Consider the following 19,551-nt stretch of genomic DNA (forward strand, 5'->3'; position numbering starts at 1 on the left):
TTAGCTGGGTGTGGTGGTGCATGCCTGTAGTCCCAGCTACTGGGGAGGCTGAGGCAGGAGAATCGCTTGAACCCAGGAGGCAGAAGTTGTGGTGAGCCGAGGTTGCAACACTACACTCCAGCCTGGGTGACAGAGCGAGACTCCGTCTCAAAAAAAAAAAAAAAAAAAAACAAACGTTAAGAGAGACACAGAAACAGACTTGTAAAAAGGTGAATGGGCACCAAGATTTTATCCTGAATGTGCTGGTCCCGGTGACTTTAAGATTCGAAATTGAGGTAAATGCAGGGAGAAATTGGCTGGCCTAGGATCCGGAGACCTGAGTTCCAGCCCCAGCTCTATCCCAAACTAGCTATGGGATGTTAGGCAAGTCACTTCACTTCCTCATCATTCATGTTAAAGGTCTTCTCATATATAAAATGAAGGTATGATTTCAAAATTTGCTTTCAGCTCTCATGTTCATTTGACTCTGATCCTAGACAGGCTTTAAAACATTTCTTATTTGGGGGTGTGGATGATAGAACCTCACGTAGATGTTCTATCTGATCCTGTGTGGCTCTTCTCCCATAATCTCAGGGCTACATTTTGTACTGTGGAGTGACCCTCAAGGCCAGGTGAAGGCAGGGGCTCTCAGCAGGTGCTTGGTGAGTTTCTCCGAGCTGGTTGTTTTTATTGCCAAGTGACACTAGAACTGTGCTAATCCCTTTCCGTTAATGCAAACTAAGAATAGGGCCTGACGCCACTCTGGGGTCTTAGATTCTTTTCCGAAATTTGGTCTCATTTAAAACCCAAAACACTCTTTGGCTCCAAGCGTCTTTCCCGTGGCCTTTAAAAAAATCCTGTTTAATTGAAAGGAAATTGAATTTGTCTGGTTTTGATTCATTTACACTTAACTCTTCTAAAAACAATAATTTGATGTCCAAGGAGAATTTTGAGTCTCTTAATGGGTTTTCTGGAAGGCTTTGTTTCTTCTTGTTAAAACAGGAAGTGGTGTTCTATGGGCAAACACAGTCAACCCCAGAAGGCCCCAATTCAGTTTGAAACTGTATCACCCACCATTTTGCATGGGTCCTCATGACCCCAAGCTAAGGCCTTTCTTTCCCTAGTACTCACCTAAGAGAAAGAGATGCTCATCTTTCATCAGAGGGGGAATAAAAATGAGGAAGAACAATCATAGTTATAAAGAGAATAAGTTATCTATCCAGCTCAAGGTGACAATATCTATTCAAACCTTTAAGACATGCACTTGATCCCTGTAACAACCCTGTGATGTATGTAATATTTCCATTTTGAAGAGATTGGGTAAGTTACTCATGGTCATACAGGTAGAAAATAGAAAAGCAATTATTGGAACCTAATCCTGCTTACTTCCAAATTCCATAAAGCTTAGCCACTGTGATACATCACCAGATTGATACATACATCTCCATATAGTTTAGGCTACGAGCCCATCTATGGGGACCATGTAGGTTTTGTTACTATTTGTTTTATCTCTTTGTCTAAGTGACCACTATCCACAGTCTGCACCGGTCAGATTCATGAAACTGCTCAATTCTTCACAACTCTTTATTCAAGAAGGCCTATTTCCCAGGTAAGAAAGCCTGCCTGGCTTTGTTAGCAGGTGCACTGGTGTGAAACTGACAGGTTCTCTTTTTACATAATGATCCAATGAGTTGATTTTTAAATGTTTTATAGCTCAATAGAGAACGGCATATTCTTTGACCTGCCAAGGCTTCCTCCTCTACCCTTGTACCTTCGTTCTTTCTTCCTTTCCTCCTCGAAATCTTGCTCTCTTCTTCATTCTATTCCACTCATATACACACAAAACTATACACAATTTTTTTTAAAAAACATAACAGATTCAGGAGGTTATATAAAACACAAAGAAGGGAATGTTTTGCGAGGTTAAAAGGAAATCATTGAGTAGGGCTGACTTCAGGCTCCAGTTTCTCTTGAATAGCCTTTCTTGTTATTTCAAGGCTGATTGACTTATAACTGCATCCAAAGCTGCCTCACACCAGTTCCTTTTATCAGACCAAGTGAGACTTCCTGTGGACTGGCCCAGCTTCCTGATATATTTCCTTTTTCCTTTGGCAGAACAAAGAAAACCATAGCTCCAAGGATCCTTGGGAGCAAACACAATTTAGCCCTGAAGAACCTATTATTTTAAATTTTTCATTCTCAATGCGTAGGGCCAAGCGCCTGCCTTTGCTTTTTTTTTCCCCACAGCATTCTGTGTAATGTCCCGATGAACCCTATGTGCAATTACCAGGGGTCGATGAGCTACTTGAATTCATCCTAGTTGTAGTTTGATTTTATTCAAAGTAGGAAAATTAAGCCATTTTCAGTGCACAAGCACCCCCACCTCATACACGCATACACCTTCAAGAGGGACGTGGAACACCTCTCTACATAGGGTTTAACCTTTTGTTACCTGAGCTCAACACAACAGGTGTGCAAGGAAACCCTCTTGTCTAGAGATTTCAACCTATCTGTTTTTGCAGTTCTGACTCTAGAAACATGCGTATAGGAGAAGAAGCTTCAAGGTGTATCCAAAGGATCATCAAAGTCAGTTGAAGAAGAAATTCCAGAAATTGAGTTGAGATCGCTGCTTTTCTCTTTTGCCTGGAGTGTCTCCCACATCACTCCATACAACGTGGCCTCACTATTCACTCTACACATTACTACTGAAAGACCTTTAGGCATGACCCAGGGTAACAAGGGAGCACTGTTAAGAAAGTTGCTTGTTTCTCTGTCATATCTCCCAAAGTACCTATCACACATTGCCAACTTAGGATAGCCCCCTCCCCAGTAGTCTCAAAAAGAAAGAGGCCATTGACGGAGAGACAACTGAGGCTTCAAGATGTAGTGTGTCAAAAGATGGGAACCAGGCAAGAGCCCCTGGAAGCAGAACTCAAGTATTCATGCCCCCAAACACCACGCTCTACAATGAGGGTGTTTTCTGGAGCAAAGATATCAAGGCTCATTTAACCCACAGGGACTCCTGCTTCTTTGTTCATTGGTCCTATTTTCTGACCATTGTCATAATATTTCTGGGTGATTGAAGAGGGCACTTTCCATAGGAACCACATGGGTAAGTGAGTAATCATGTAGCCACCCAAATTTTACTAAAGTAGATTTTTCTCTTTAAAAGGATTGCTGATTTGGAAGAGGGTAAACAACAAAACAAATGTAGCTCTTCTGGCAAGAGGCATTTCTTAGGGCTAATTCAACATGGTTAATTCATAATGATTTTTCCTAACCCAGTTCTCATTGTTATCATGTCTAGTTGAAAATGGATTTAAAGAATATTCACAAAGAAGAAAATAACTCAGAAACTATGTGGCATGAGGAGACTGTGAGGGGGTTATGGGCACGGTTGGTGTGCTCTGCTTTGTATAACCTGCTTGGGCGATAGCAAAGGCAAGGGGTTAAAATGACTGCCCCACACTATGAGCTTAGGATCTTTCTTTTCCCAGCACGATACTCTGTCAATAGCCCTGTACCCAAGTTCATGAACAGTCAGGAATCCTGAAGAAAAGATTCATACATTATCTTAAGCAACTTCCCCCGCCCTGATAACACTGCCTGTAGAGAACCATGCTAACCTGCCCTTCGACTTCTCCATAATAAGAACACATTGGTCGAAGGGCACAAGTCCTCTTTCTCAAATACGGTCTTTGGTGCAACATAGGACTTCCCTAGAGGTGAGGGACTTGAAGGGCACCTGTACTTTTTGCACTTTTCTAGAAAGGAGAGGGAGAAAGAGCAGGTGACTTTTCTAGAAACGTCATTTCAGGAAACCAGCATGTGGAGACTTCCCAGGGTGCCTTGGGGAAGGCATCCAGCCCTGTGGCTGTGCTGCTCTGGGCTTCTAAGCCATTCCTTTTGGAGACTGTGGGTCTCTATAAACATACTGAGTCTGAAGTGTGGTAAAGGAATTACCATGGCTCCCCCTCCCTGCCTTCTTGGAGTTTGCCCCCTGAGTTTTGTAGACAAGCCATGACAGGGCAGTAGGACTGGGTTTAGAGCTCATCAGAATTATTTATTTCTTCCTATCAGTTTGGACAGGGTATGACCCAGACTCTTCTCTGCCCAGAGCACCCTTTTAAAAAATTTAAAACCCTGTGTGTATTTCATGGGAAATTTCACATGCCTGTTTCTGATTCACTTCCAATTAAAGGCTCAAAACACTGGTTTTGTAAGAGCTCTTTGATGATTCAGATTCTTGTTGGTTCATCTTTTTTTCTCTCCTAAATGTCCATAGAAGCTTAATAAATGTTGTTCAGACATTTGCATGCTTAACTGTTGAAAATAATTGGAAACAGGAAAGAATGTTTTGTTAGTGTGCACAGTACAAGCACACTTACAAGGGAAGGAGAGACACAGCCTCAGTGAAGGGAAACTCCTGGGAAAACAGGGGTATCCCTGAAGGTGGGTGCCTTGGTTTCCCCATTGCCGTGCATGGGGGAGGAAGCTTTCAGCTCAGAGCTACCAAAAAGGGAGAGGAGCGTTACATGAGACACAAGAATCCTTCTTACTGTGGTCAGTTACCATCGACAAGCAGTCAGTTGAGTGGTCAGTCTCATCCAAGATGGAACAGGTGGATTGGCATTTTCCATATGCTAACACTACTTTTAACTCCCTTCTGATTGGAAGGAGTTGGTTGTCTGCTATTAGAGCAAGCCTCGTTCTCCACCTCCTTTAAAAACTTTGCTGGTGAAGCTGTCTAGGTGCACCTGTGCCTAGCTCCCCTGAGAGAGTTTTATATATCGGTCCCTCTAAAGTGCTAATGTGGGCACCGGCTTGGGTAGTCTGAGTTCTGTACCTGGTTTTGCCTTAGGCTGGCTTCGTGACATTGGACAAGTTACTCTCCCCTTCTCAGTGGGTCCATTTACCCAAAAGGATTAAGGCTTCTTGATGATCCTCTTCTTCCATGGATTTGGTAAAAAACTGGAGTAGTGAGTTGCTTTGAGTTTCTTCAAGAAAAGCGTGAATTAATTACTACACTTTGACTAACTACTGGGTGGCTCATTGGATGGCTTTCTTGTTGCCAATGTAACAAGATTGCTGTAAATCATGCGGCATTTCAGATTCCGAGCCTTATTTGGACTTTTTACTAAAGAAAGAGCACCCGCCCCGTCTTTTTATTTGTCAGGCAAAGTTCAGTCAGCCAATATTCAGTTAGCCAAAGTTACCAAATGTGACTTCATGCCCACACAATGTAAATATAATGTGTCAATGCTGTGTGCTGTAAGGTGCTTCTTGCCTAAAAAAGGTGAGACAAAACCTTAGGAAGGCTGGCAGTAAACCTCTGGAGTATTTTGCCAGATTACTGTGACAGTGGCAGAATGATTTTGTGAAAGCCACATGCAGTCTGAAGTTTGGAAATCTAGGTTCAGACCCACTTATTAATTGTGTGGTCTTCGGTCAGATAATAACTTCTCCAATCTCCTTTCCTACCTGTAAAATAATAGTAGTACTGGTAGTAATAATGCATAACGTTAATTTTTCTACCAACCTTACTAATAATAAGAATCAAAAGTAGTATGGAAGTAAAAGCACTTTGTAATTGTAAAGTGCTGTGCAACTGCTAGTTGTTATTATCTTAGTTATTATTCTCATTCAAGTCGATGCATGAATATAACAGATAATAAATGTAACTTAAATCTGTTGGGTTGCTTTTTTCTGGCCTTAGTGATTTCAAAGACTTGCTTGCATGTGGTTAAATTCACCAGTTAGTGACTTATTCATATCTCTTTGCCCATGTAGACACCATCCCCTACAAATGCACAAGTACAGATCAAACATCCCATATTCCTCCTTTCCCTCCCACGTATCCGGCCATTGTTCTACTTGTGAAACTCCCATCCCAATCAATGGGGGGTTTACGTAAAAACCGATGGCAGGATATGAGTGTGGCTTCAGGAATTCCAGGCTTGTGCTGCTGATAAAGAGAGTTGTGTCAAACAGAAAACACCAGAGAAACAAATTCTCTTGTCCAACCTATGCTACAGCACTCCCTTGTGAATAGTTTTAAAACATCCGTCTGGCTGACCAAATACCTATGGCTGCCTCCACCCATACATCTACGCCACCTCTTCTATTATCTTCCCCATGTCCTTGTGGTAATACAGTACAGAACCAGGCTAGAAGTAGGTTAATTCAGAGGGAGATACCAGTAGAACTGAGCTCCCTGATTAAGGGATGTGAATTTAATTGGGTTGTGACAGTCTGTATTAAGTGTAAATGCTACTAATAGGTTTAACTGACTTTGGTGTGAGTGAAGGGACAACAGAACAAAAGAAGTAATTTGCCTTGAAGATGATCCTCTTTTAGTGTTGAAGTCACAAGTGATGGAGGCCCTTCTTTCACTTAACGAGGCCAGGAAAGCTGGGTTGGTCTTTATTCTCATCATGCATCATCAATATTTTAGGAAAGGTCATATTGCTGTCTTTCACGGTACACTGCACAACCAAGTATGATTATGTGACCAGAAGTGAAGGGAAGGAGAACATTTGCCCATATTCTACCCACACTGAAGTAGCTCAAAAATGAAGAGATGAAGAAAGGAAAATGGAGTTGACCATTTCCATTTAAGTGCTCATTCAGACATTTAGTATTAAAATGATGAACTTCTTTTGCAATCTTTTTATTGAACGCATTGAACTAGGTATTAGGGTGTTATCCTTGGCCAACAGAATTGGGATTTCAAAGTTCATGAGGCCGAACATTGAACTGCTCAAACACTAGTCTGTAGTTCCTAGGGACCACAATCTAGCTAAGATCAGCCCTACTGCTTTTTCTCCATGACAACAAATCACCACCAAGACCGAGATGCTGTATTGAAAGAGCATGCTGTGTTTTTCCACACTAACACCACAGAGTGAAGGTAAAGAGATTAGAGAGCATCTCAAATTTATATTTCAAATTATGAAGAACATCTGACACAATGAAAGCAAATGCAGCCTTGCAGAAAATTTATTTGTCTATCTTTGTGATGTTGGATTGTATAAAGGGTTTGGACATACTCATTGTCCTACCACCTTAACTACATAAAAAAATATAATCTCTTCAGCTACTAAGTTTCTGATTTTGCATTTGATATGGGAGCAATAGTATTTTATTGGGCTACACAAGGTTCCAAAATCTCTCTTTTGAAGATATTCATGTGTAGGAAACTCTGTAACAGATATAGCTCTTGCACAATTTTTAGGAGAAGAGATTTGGGAAACTTTATCAGTTTTTCTCAACCTTTTTAACTCTATCTTAAAGTCCAAGGAAAGTGAAAGATTAAGAAAACTTTCCTTATCAGGGCTGTCCAACAGAACTTTCTACAAACATGGAAATGTCCTGTTCTGCACTGTTCACTATGGTAGCCACTGTACTCTCTATTTGAGTGGCTATTGAGTATTTGAAATATGGCTAGAGAAAGGAAATGTAAAATTGTGTTCTTTTTTCATTAAGTCAATTAAGTTTAATTAGTTGATTAATCTAATTAATTAAATATGGTTAGAAGCTACCATAGTGGGCAGTACAAGACTGCATCATTCAAGTTAAAAACATCATCTTGAAATCTGAATTCAGTCAGAGGGGCATATTTACACGGATTATTTTGATCTGAGTCAGCAATGTGTTGTCCACATGGAGACTAACACTTCCATTTATTCTTATGACTAACATTAAAGCAAAGCAAAATGAAAAGTGAATGTTCAGCATTATCATGTTGGCCTGGGGCTGGAGCTAAGTTTTCTATCCCGTCTCCTGGCTTCATCATCAATTCTCTGCTGACCTTTAAGAATGTAATACTTTATTTCCCTTTTATCAAATGAGGGCATTTGGAATTTATCAAAAGGATAGTCACGAATCATGATCGAATGTTTATTGGGCTTATCAAAGAAAGGTATGGGCTTTGCCCTATACCTTTTCATTGAAAAATAATCTTGGCCAAAAGGAATCCCTATTATACATAATGGCGATTTCAGTTTCTCCATTTGCAAAATACTGGCATTGTACTTGCTTATTTTTAAGGTCATTTTTAGCTCTAATGCTTTATGCCACCATGAAAATATGATTTCCTATTAGGTAGAGCTCCATACTATTAACAGATGGTTTGCTTTTCTAGTTCCCAGATCCCTATAACCGTTTGTAATATTTCTTCTTAAGTATAAATGTGAACAAAGCACTTTAATTTAGCAAATAACCAGCTAAAGTGGTAGTCTTTGTCTTTTTTTAAAAAAATTTTATTTTAAAACTTACTAGTTAGACTGGTAGTCCTTGAAAGCCAATTTCTCTCCAATGAGTATTCCCTAGGTTTGTATTCAACACAGTTTGGTCGTTTGTCCTCTCCAAATCTCATGTTGAAGTATGATTCGCAGTGTTGGAGGTGGGGCCTGGTGGGAGGTGATTAGATCATGGGGGGCAGATCCCTGGTGAAGGAATTAGTGTCATCTCTGGGCGAGAAGTGAGTTCTGGCTCAGTTAGCTCGCCTGAGATCTGGTTGTTAAAAGAGTCTGGGACCTCCTCCTTCTCTCTCTTGCTCCTGCTCTTGCTATGTGACACGCTGGCTCCCCATTCACTTTCCACCACAATTGTATGCTTTCTGAGGCCTCATCAGAAGCAGATGCTGGCACCATGCTTTCTGTACAGCCTGCAGAACCATGAGCACCATGAGCCAAATAAACCTCTTTTCTTTATAAATTACCTAGCCTCAGATATTCCGTTATAGCTACAGAAAATGGATTAAGCTAGTGCTGTTCTATGGTACACTGTATTAGTCTGTTTTCACATTGCTGGTAAAGATATACCCGAGATGGGGCAATTTATAAAAGAAAGAAAGAGGTTTATTGGACTTACAGTTCCACATGGCTAGGGAGGCTTCACAATCATGGCGGAAGGCAAGGAGGAGAAAGTCACACCTTACACGGATGGCAGCAGGCAAAAAGAGAGCTTGTTTAAAAACCATCAGATGTCATGAAACCCATTCACTATCATGAGAACAGCACAGGAAAGACCCACCCCCAGAATTCAATCATCTCCCACCAGGTCCCTCCCGCAACATGTGGGAGTTATGGGAGCTTTGGGTGGGGACACAGAGCCAAAACATATCATACACTTTCCAAAGATCTATATCCTTGATATCCTGAGACATGAAGCAATTTCTCTCTACCCTTCATACTTCTCACCCATGGATAATAGAAATATATTGCCTGCTACACCTCCTGTGGTTTTAGAATCACTGTGAGGAATAAATACCCCAGGCTTTCTCATGGGGAGATCTGACTTCATTACTGAGGTCTCGCTAATGAGCAGACCTATAGCAGCTTTTTCTTTGGAAGTCTTCAGGTACACATCATTGCGAAGGTCAATCCTGTGTCCATCACTGAATGGCATAAATTTGTGAGGTGAACTGTTTAAAACAAAGATGGGCAGACTCCTCTCAGAAAATGAGGCCATGTTCCTAGAGGTCCAACTCTATGTAATGGTCTTAGGGGTGATGAAGCACTGTAGTCCTGCTTCTCACTCATACCTGCCCTCCAGAAAGGATAAAATTATAAATGTCCAATTAGAGTCTTTATTAGTCTCTTCCTATGTAGAATTTATCAATAGTTTGACAGTTCTGCAGCTCATGCATTTTCAGAAAAATCCTTCTTCAGTTTAAAACATTCCACCATTGTTTTTTGTTGTTGTTTTTTCAAATTGCATTGGGAAGAAGGTAAGGAGTATGTATAGAATACAATTCTGTGAACAAAGTGAGTGAGTTACTTGCTCCTTGAGGGCAGAAACTCTGGCCATTTGTCCTCAAGTCCTCAGTGCCTGACACATATCCATGTATTAATTGAGCTGCTTCTATGTGCCAGGTGCTGGAGTACAGCAGTAAAGCAGACAGGTATAGTTCCTCCTTGGACAGAGGTAATAGTCAAGGCAAAAAAAAAAAACAGTTATTGAGCTTGTTGTTATAAGTGCAAAGGGTTCTATGAAAGGGGAAGTATGGGGTGCCTCGGGAGGGCACAACGTGGGGACCTAACCTAGTCTCAGAGGTCAAAGGCTTCCTTAAGGAAGTGACATTTAGGCCGAACCCTGAAAGATAAGCCTCGGAGTCAGTATGAAAGAGAACAGGCCTTCCAATAAGTCTTTACTGGATGAGTGAATGAATGAAATGGCCACCCGGGGCATTGCTAAATTAAGTACCTTGAGCTTAGTCATCCTAACCATAGTCCCCCCAGGCATTATCTGTGTGGCCATAAGCCATTTTCTTAGCCACTCTCTTCTTCAGTAAAGGCAAGTAGAGTGTAATGAAGAATACTGTGAGAGGACAATTACCTTAGAAGGCATTATCAGACTAATGTTTTACTGAGTGCATAGAGTACATATCTATAGGTTAATATGCCTTTACTATGCAATGCATCCAGAAATTTCAAAGTCAAGAAGATTCTAGGAGGCTGAATTCCACCTTTAGAAATCTCAGCTATGAAAGCTCTGGGTTTCAACTTGATATAACTCTTCACTGGCCAGAAAAAAAAAAAAAAAAAAAAACGGCAACTCTTTGGCAAATAGAGCTCTGGAAGATGCGCTGGCTGGCGCCGACATAAACTGCTATCCTGATCTCCATCAAAGATGTGGGCCTTCTCATGCTGCAGTTTCCTCAACTGCAGAACAGGGAGATTCTTCCAATGATAATTTTACCTCGAAGTGATGTTGTAATAAAGATGGTGGTAAAAGCATTTTGCAAGACCAAAAAAAGAAACACCTACTAAACAGGCATGCTGTCTATATCTGGTGTTTGTTAGAATTTCTGAGGAAACCCTCTGGTCTAAGATTCTAGAGAGTCTACAGAGGTTGATAACTGGGATTGGCTTTTAAGATCTTTTCTGGAATGGCTGTTCCCTTTACCTCATTATTACTTTAAACAACTTTGGCAGGAGATATCAGTAATGCCAATAACAATAATGATGATGATGATGATGGTTACTGAGTAGTTACTGATGAGCCCAGCACTGTGCTAAACACTTGAAGGACCTTTTTTTTTTTTTTTTTTTGACAGAGTCTTGCTCTGTCACCAGGCTGGAGTGCAGTGGTGTAATCTCAGCTCACAGCAACCTCCGCCTCCCAGGTTCAAGCAATTCTCCTGCCTCAGCCTTCCGTGTAGCTTGGACTACAGGCACGCACCACCACGCCCAGCTAATTTTTGTATTTTTAGTAGAGACGGGGTTTCACCATGTTGGCCGGAATGGTCTCAATCTCTTGACCTCGTCATCCGCCAGCCTCAGCCTCCCAAAGTGCTGGGATGACAGGGGTGAGCTACCGCACCCGGCCCTTGAAGGCATTTTAGCACTTGACTTCCACCACAGCCCCAAGGAATCCATCTATCATGACTCGCACGCACCCAGTGAGAAGAACCAAGACATACGAAACTCAAGTGACTTGCCAAAAGTTGTGCAGCTAGCAGGTTCTGTCTGATACCAAAGACTTTACTCACTGCATATGTGAAATATTTTGAGATTTTCAGAATAAGAGCTCAGGGTTGCTAAGTGATTAAACATATACAATTAATTATTCCTGCCCTGGAAGACAAGAGTGTTACCATTAGCAGAAGTTTATTTTTGCAATTCCTCTGGCCTTCTGGTGTTCCCACATGCCTCCACCCCTTTTCCTAACGTATTGCTTGCCTGTTGTTTAAAGAAAACAAAAATTTATTCTCAAACTTGTCCAAATAGAAATGAATTGCATTAAAAATAGTGAAAGCCATGGTGAAGGACTGAAAAAGTTGAGGAGTCAATGACATTTGCAGAGCCCCTGCTGTGCAACTTCCATGGGACTACCAGGACCGAGGCTATATTTTATTAATAAGATCTCAATTTGTAAGGGTCATTTTATTATCTCCGTATCCCCCATCCCACCTCATTTAGTTGGATGATCTAGAGAGAAAACAGCATTTCTACCTTCTTGCAATGGAAACAATAGGCTTTGCTTGTGCCACTTTTATTTTCCCACTGGGGAATCTGAGAGATGACCTGATTGAATTCCACCCGTAAAGGTCATGCTTTGAATTCAAGGCAGAGGAAAAAAAATGAAGAAAACATTTTGCAATGATACCCCACGAGTCCTGAGCATGCTGGGGCCTCTCCTGGTTGCATTGTGGTCTGCTGATAAGGATAACATTAATGACAAGTGGAACATTTCCAGGACAAAGGAAATTCCCTGTTGTATTGTTTAAAGGAAGCCACCATCCACTAAGGAGAGCAAGGTTTGTGATGTAGGCACAGATTTCCCTGCAGGAGAGGCAGGGAGAGCTGCCAAGCTGCCTGTGAGTATGCCTGTCCTTAATTTCATCTGGGGAAGCATTTGCATGGTTAGAAGTCAATAAGGGGTCATGGCAGTTTATGGCATTGGTAGGGTTAGGAGCCAGACTGTTAGAAATGGAGGCACATTGGCTGGGGGAGTAAAAAGCCTGATTCATACAATGCAGCCCATTTAGGAATCATAGCAAAAGCACCAGGAGATTTAGAGAAGTTGATCTGGTTTTGAGTTTAAATTCTGGACCTCCTTCTCTCCCCACCCCCTCCAAGCCAAAATGTCAGAAAAGGGCCTGGTTTCCCTTTATGGAGTGCAAAATAAACAGATCCTCAGCAGCAGGAGAGGGGCCCAGTTCCCCAGCCCATAATGCCAGAGCTGGGGGTGGGGGTGCTGTGGGGAAAAGCAGTTATTCTTCTGTCTGGTTAGTATTTGGCATTGACTTTCATTTTCTCCAACCTCTGTTTTCTAGAAGCCTGCCTGTACGGGAAGTACAGGAATAAAGAGAAGCTGATCGTGGGGGTTTTCTTGCCAGACTTCAAAGGAGGTGGATTTTTGATTTTTGATAGTTTGGAGAGCTAGTTCCAAAAGTAAAAGCTGCTTTGGGGACTTGAACCTAGACACTGGGATCTTAGCCGTGTGCCCATCAGAGCCGCTGCTCTGCTCCTGATGGAATGGAGTGCTCTGGGCTTCCCACTCTCCTCTCCCAGTCCAGGAGGGCTGGAGCTCTGGGCATCTCAGGGTCAGCTGCGGTGAGCCTGGCCACAGGGCTCTGCATTCCTTCTGGGCTTTGCTTGGTTTGAGTGGGTGTGACCGCCAGTTTACTCTGGAGAAAACTGAGACAAAGAGTCTAAATTGGGCAGGATCTTGAATCTAATGACTTGTTTACAGACCCTGTACTTTTTCCAGTGCAGGGAGGAGGAAGAAGGCAGGGCATGCTCGTCACTGTGGGCATGGGCACATTGCTGTTTTCATCCTAAGGAGGTAGGACAGCTTCAGAAAGCAGCAGGGCATCTGCCTGGCAGCCAGCAGGCAAAGTGGCATGCTGTGTAATTTTCCAAGGTAGGGAGGAAGCAGTGGCGGCTTCTGCTTGGTCCTACCGGCTTGGCTTCCGGGGCACACGCTGCTCTGGGGAGAATGCCTGACCCTGCCACATGAAAGGCCTTGCTTCCTCCCACTTCAGCTTCAAGCGATGGGGAGATTACCCTCCTCACCCCTGCTCCAAGTGCATCACAACCCAGAGCACCCAGCCAAGAATGCACACCTGTGATGGGGCTAAGGAGGCCTCACTGGACCTGTGTAAGGAGAGAGGAGATTCCCAGGAGGACCTCACTAATAGAAAAGCACACGCATGATGGTTTTGCTATCGTGTGACATTTATTTCATACTTGCTACCTGTAAGAAATTCCTTGAAAACGAAATAGTATATGGCAAGATTTAAGGACTTGCTCTTCCAGATTCTGGAGGTCCTTCTGGAGCCCAGGGATGCTGTTTCTAAGGCATGTAGGTGCTGAGGGTCTACCCCAAAGGGCAGTTTGGGACTGCAGGGCAGGCAGGAAGTGCCTTTGTTTGTGTGCATGCCAGGCGGTTTATAAACATCCCCTTTACTTCCCTTGCCAACCCAGGAGTATATATTGCAATTACCACATTCTGATGAGGAAACTGAGGCTCAGAGAAGTTAAATCATTCACTCCAGGCCATACATCTGCTAAATGTGTCATGCTACATCCACTTTGCACCTAGTTTGAACAGGTTTACAAAGCAAGTCAGTAACCCCTGCATGCCTGGGTGCCTGAAGTTGAAAAGGGGTGGCTCTAAGATGTGGTCTACTACCTCTCCTGGACTGTTGCAGTTGGGTGTGGCTGATTTGAAATTGTGCTTCAAAAGAATGAGTTCTAGTCCCTGAATAGAGGAGCTCACACCACAGTGCACTGTAGATCTTTGTGATCCAGAAGTCCTCCAGATGTTCCCAAAAGGATCTCTAAGGTGTTGCTGGGGATGTTGTGTGTATAGGGAGTGTTCCCTTGGGGGCCTCTGAGCCCTCCTGGCAGAGAAGCCTCATAGATAATGGCATCCCCAGAAAACTCTACACTTGGAATGGGACCCAAATTAAATACAGCACCAGCAAGACTAACTGAGCCACTACCTGGAATATGTCAAGATACAGCAACTAACACTTACTTTATGTTTGTCATTTGCAAACCCTATCATGTCCGTTAATCCATTCAAATGCTGAGAGGTAGGCAGGGCAGCTATTATGATTCAAAAAAGAGGCCACATCTTTGTGGATTTGGGTTCTAATCCCAGCTCCTGCCGTCACTAGATGTGTGTGGTCTGAGCAAATCCTTCCACTTCTCCTAACCTTAGTTTCCTCATCTGCAACATGAGAAACTTGCTTTCCAAAGTGCCTCAAGCTATGGGAGTGGGGATACGGGAATGAGTCTCCCCAACATTCAGAGGCTCCCCCAGAGCTGGCAGCCCAAGGCACACCACTAAGTGCCACTGCCTTCTCCTCCCCTCTGCTGGCCGGATACTGACCAATGGAGAAACCAGGACTGGGGCGGGAAGGAGTAGGTGGTAAGATTCTTTTTCACTTGTTTCCTGCACCTGGAGACAACAGCAAGACCATTATTTGGATGAGTTATTGTTTAGAGTTTTGTTTGTTTTGGTTTGGGTTTTTTTAGCTTTATGAAAAGAAATGCCTATTTTTCAAATTTCAATTGTTCCTTTCTACTGCCTGTCCAAGCTCACTACTTTTCAAGAGGCCAATCCCTGGGTAAATCTTAGTGAATAGCAGTCGACTGTGTTATTTATCTGTGCCCCATGCTGGAGGTGCAGACTCGGTGAGACCAGCAGAGCAGCTGAGGTTAGACTCAGTGGAAAATCCAGAAGTGCAGATGTGGATCCAAATTGGGCTGAAAAAATCTCATGAGATCAGGCTTTCTTGGACTTCCTGCTTTTAGCCTAAGCACTATGTTCAACATAAACGAACTTTCGGTATTTTGAAACTTCCGTTTCTGATCTCAGAACCTGGAAGTAAAGAGCTGTTGTGAACATTTCCACAAATTTTGTCATGGTTATTCTGGAGGCAGAGTTGAACCCTGTAATTACGGAGCTTTGGGACTCACTACACCCACAGTGGCCTGCCTGGATTGCAGTATGGGAGAGGGGAAGGCATTTTGGTGGAGAGTCCAGGCTTTGGAGACAGGCAGGACCCTGTTCAAATTCTAGCTCTGCCATTTCCGGCCATGTGACTGGACCTGTCAGAGTCTCAGTTTCCTCATCAGTTAGATTAAAAAAAAAAAAAACAGTTCGTAATGTTGTGAGGACAAAATGGTCTGCGTGTGTGTGTACTCTTTCTCCCCTTTTCCCGTGTGTGTGTGTGTGTGTGTGTGTGTGTGTGTGTGTGTGTAAAATCTGTAATATTTATTTACTTATAGCTTGAATAAGTTCCCCTGGGAGTCTCAGGCTGCCTGCCTCTGATAGATGTGACATTGTGAAGTTGCTGAAATCCACCTAATTAGCTGTCAAAGAGTGCATTATACAAAGACAGCGAGGGCTCTGCATTCAGTCTAAGCTCTAAGGACTGGCACGATCTCTGGTGGACTTGAAGGGCAACGGAGACTTACTGCAAATTTTGGGAGCTGAATTACATTCATCCCGTCTACTCATGTTTCTGGGGCCTCATTTGCTTTCCTGGGACAAGCAAGGGCAAGGCGCTGGGCAGGTCAGTGCTGTGAGAAAGCAAGGTGCTCCAGCAGCATGGAGTCACCGGCTGAAATGGACAAGAGCTATGCAGGGCAAGGAAAAAGGGAGGAGAGGGAGTCAGGGCCATGGGAGACAAGGGACATGGAAAACCCACCCAAGGCTGCTGAGAAACAGGACTAAGTTAGTAAGCCCATCCTGCAGGTGCTACTACTTCTTCTCTGTTTCTTGGCTTACTTTTTTTTAAAACTCATTACGTGCATCGTTTAAGTTCTTTAAAATAATGATTGCAGAAGTGTCACTTCATCCTTGTATAAAATTTAAAACGTATAGAAAATTTCAAAATAAGAATGTAAAAGCACGCATAGTCTCACAATACAGAAAGCAGCCGATTCATATTTTGGTGCCCTTCCTTCCGGTCTTTATAATGCAAATATATAGACATATATGTATTATTTTATCTAGCCAGAATCATATTGCTTTGTAACCTCCTTTTATTCTCTTTATATTAAATTACGGCCATGTTCCTGTATCATTAAATATTACACTATATCACTACTTCTGATGGAAGTACAGCAAACCACTAAACACGGAAGTCAAGTCCTGGGCTCTGGAATAGTATATATTATTTTAGTTATGCCCAGCTTCTGGACCTGGGATGGCATTTTGTAACAGACGCAGCCTTATCTCTTTTGTATTTTCATAAAATCTTCAGTATAGGCTCTAAAAAGGAGCCCACGTGAAATGCTGAAAAGACGATGTTTAAAAAGTCACAAAGTCCCCCTAGAGTCATAAAACCAGAAACACTGGGGGGTGGGGAGGCCAAGCCGGGCCTTCGCTCACCTCCTTGTGCCTCTTAATGCAGCCCAGATGGAAGCCCGTCCAAGACCGGATTGCAGGCAAGCCCAGGGCCCGATCTGATAGCACAAAGACACCCACAACTCTGAATTTCCTGCTACCAGGAGGCCTCTTTTTGCATAGGCTGTCTGATTTACACATACGTGGAAAGCAGCCACTAATAATAGAAGGGTTGCCTCTTTTCTTCCGTTGTCAGACTCCGCGGGCCCTGCTCAGTGACTCCCGCGTCTCCAAGCAGCTGCCTGCCTCTCTTTCTGCCCCTCACAGCAACAGGGTCAGCCGGGCTCCTTGTAAGAAAGAGGCCAGGCCCTCTGCGCCTTCTCTGTGTGTGGCGGAGGTGGGGAAGGTGCTTTCTGAGGGCTCTTTGTCTGGCGAGCAAGCCGGACCTCTGTGCAACAGAAGCCGCCTCTGGCCACCCCCGGCCCTTCCCCCTCCACCCAGTCAAGTTCTGCACAGCCAGTGTTTTCTCCTCCAGCCCCAGCTAACCTGAGCTCTCTCAACTAATCCAGAGAAGCTTCTGGAGAATCTGTCCTTGCCAACTAGGGGCTGGCAAGTTCGTGAGAGAGAATTAATTCTCTGTGAGCCCCTTAAGACTAGTAACTATGTGGAGCTCACCCCTGTAGGATGCACCACAGACAGCTGGAATGGTCAAGCCCTTCAGGGATGCCTTCTTCTGCTGCCTTGATTCACATGGTGCCATCCACTCAATCATTCATTCATTCCGCCAGCCTGTACTTGGCACCTCCTATTCTCAGCACGGTGTAGAATATAGGGATGGAAGAATGGAGGCGAAGACAGACGAGGTCCCTGCTGTCACAGAAGAAACAAAGAATAAAAAGAGAAGAAACTAGAATTGAAGAGTCTGTGGTGGGGATTGCAGGGGAGATGCCTGTCAAGTTATAAAAGGCCCTAATACATTTTTGCTTTATGTTTGAAATTGTGACCCTGTCCTTAGCCTATTCCCAACCAGCCTCAAGCATGGTTCAGTCTCACAGTCCAGCTGCTGAGCTGTAGAGAGACCATCTCTTTATACAAGATCAATTATGGGTGCAAGAGCATGCCTGGCTCAAGCACACAGACCCACAGACCCTTGTGGTCAGGGAGTTCCTACATGAACCCAAACCTTTGGGGGCTGGGATGTTTACTCTTGGCACTCTGGGATTTCCTGTTTCTAAGAAAATGGGCCTAGATGCTCAGCTACATTAACCAAACAACATGTTGACACAAATGAATCTGAAGCTTGCCCGCTCCAGGCTCTCTAGAAGGTCAGGTTTGGGAATGAAGGCATTTGGGTGACTTTCCAAACTCTGAATCCCAAGCCCAGTGACTCAGGCCAGGTATTAATTTGAGGGATCTGCTTCCCTCCTCTTCCTGCCTAAGAAGGCCCCACTAAGTGGCTAGAGTCAGAGGCTCCCTGGTCATCTTGAGTAGTGGGAATGCTTCTCCTGTCTGTCTGCAGCTGGTCTTAGAGGGAGGCAGCCCAGGTAGTATGGTAGGATGCTCCAAAAGACCCACCCCGCAGAAACCTCCATCACGTTTCTGTCTGCCTGAAATCCTTGCCATGGGTTCACTCCTTTGAACGTCCAGGAGGTTCATGTAAAAATGTAAAAGTTACCCCCTGACGTGACTTAACCATATGACATTTGACACACGACTATATGACATTTACTATATGGCTGAGCCTAGCAAGGTCCTGGGAATATGGAAAACCTGAAACATTTTGACAGGGTATGGAGGAGAGGAAGGGGAGAAAGCAGAGGAAAAGCTGACAAGGTCAAGGGATGCTTCTCGGAGAAGGGAGAAGGGCAGGAGGAGGATGTTCAGGCAAGGAGCAGAGCAGCCTGGAGATGCCAGTTTGGTGATTATGGACACCTTGGCTGCTTAGCCAGAGGTGGCCCTCACAATGCCATTCCTGCTGTGCCCACTGCCCAGAGTGCCAGCAAACACTGCAGGATTTGCTTGCTCAGACTTCAGGCAATGCAGCTTTGTCTGCTGGGGAGAATCTTACCATTTTTAACCTGTATTTGAACCAAGAGATTTGCGTGACCTCCACAGGAAAGTGCAACTATCTTCCAAAAATGTATAAATTATCAAAGATGTATTCTATAACAAAAATGACAGTCCTTGAGATGTGGTGGATTAATATTGCTAGATCAGGAGCTACTCAGATGAGGTAAAGTCCCTTTGGGAAAGCACAGAGCCTGGGGAATGAGGGATGGAGGCCAGTGTGCAGAAAAGCCGTGCGGAAACACCTCGTGCAGTCATTCTCCTATCGAGCTCTGGGAACCGCGGGGTGGGGGAGAATCCAAACAATCGGGAGGAAAAATATCCCTGTTCTAGCTGTTCAGGCTGCTGTAATGGAGTCCCATAACTGGGTGGCTCATCAACAGTGAATGCTTATCTCTCACAGTTCTGGAGGCCAGGAGTCTGAGATCAGAGTGCCAGCATGATCGGGTTCTAGTGAGGGCTGTCTTCCTCACTGTGTATCTGCGTGGTAGAAAGAGGGCAAGCTAGCTCTCTTGGGTCCTCTTTATTAGGGTACTAATCCCGCTCTGAAGGCTCCACCTCCACGATCAAATCACCCCCTGAAGATCCCACCTCCTATACCATCACATTGTCCGTTAGGATTTAATGTATGAGTCTGGGGAGGGACACAAACACTCACTCCATAACAACATGACAGCTGGCACCATGGCA

General features: G+C 43.8%; 1 protein-coding gene across 9 annotated transcripts in view, besides 7 other annotated features; it reads left to right on the forward strand.

Moving 5' to 3' along the window:
* The window catches only part of FLI1 (Fli-1 proto-oncogene, ETS transcription factor), a 128,136-nt gene that overhangs the window by 18,562 nt on the left and 90,023 nt on the right, over positions 1-19,551 (forward strand). The gene's annotated exons all lie outside the window — the stretch shown is intronic.
* Positions 1,025-1,114: a silencer, noted in NCBI's record as "silent region_4063". NCBI's record gives its function as "represses an Ori minimal core promoter by ATAC-STARR-seq in GM12878 lymphoblastoid cells {active_cell/tissue: GM12878}" and the evidence as "EXISTENCE:reporter gene assay evidence [ECO:0000049][PMID:35858748]".
* Positions 11,914-12,439: an enhancer, noted in NCBI's record as "NANOG hESC enhancer chr11:128585502-128586027 (GRCh37/hg19 assembly coordinates)". NCBI's record gives its function as "activates a minimal SCP1, AML or CMV promoter by ChIP-STARR-seq in naive H9 embryonic stem cells {active_cell/tissue: H9 hESC(naive)}" and the evidence as "EXISTENCE:reporter gene assay evidence [ECO:0000049][PMID:30033119]".
* Positions 11,914-12,538: a biological region, named in NCBI's record as "NANOG hESC enhancer GRCh37_chr11:128585502-128586027".
* Positions 12,379-12,538: an enhancer, noted in NCBI's record as "active region_5732". NCBI's record gives its function as "activates an Ori minimal core promoter by ATAC-STARR-seq in GM12878 lymphoblastoid cells {active_cell/tissue: GM12878}" and the evidence as "EXISTENCE:reporter gene assay evidence [ECO:0000049][PMID:35858748]".
* Positions 13,479-13,578: an enhancer, noted in NCBI's record as "active region_5733". NCBI's record gives its function as "activates an Ori minimal core promoter by ATAC-STARR-seq in GM12878 lymphoblastoid cells {active_cell/tissue: GM12878}" and the evidence as "EXISTENCE:reporter gene assay evidence [ECO:0000049][PMID:35858748]".
* Positions 14,247-14,766: an enhancer, noted in NCBI's record as "NANOG-H3K27ac hESC enhancer chr11:128587835-128588354 (GRCh37/hg19 assembly coordinates)". NCBI's record gives its function as "activates a minimal SCP1, AML or CMV promoter by ChIP-STARR-seq in naive and primed H9 embryonic stem cells {active_cell/tissue: H9 hESC(naive and primed)}" and the evidence as "EXISTENCE:reporter gene assay evidence [ECO:0000049][PMID:30033119]".
* Positions 15,285-15,494: an enhancer, noted in NCBI's record as "active region_5734". NCBI's record gives its function as "activates an Ori minimal core promoter by ATAC-STARR-seq in GM12878 lymphoblastoid cells {active_cell/tissue: GM12878}" and the evidence as "EXISTENCE:reporter gene assay evidence [ECO:0000049][PMID:35858748]".

The sequence above is a fragment of the Homo sapiens genome, chromosome 11 (assembly GCF_000001405.40).
Source record: "Homo sapiens chromosome 11, GRCh38.p14 Primary Assembly".
In the NCBI taxonomy this organism is placed as follows: Eukaryota; Metazoa; Chordata; class Mammalia; order Primates; family Hominidae; genus Homo; species Homo sapiens.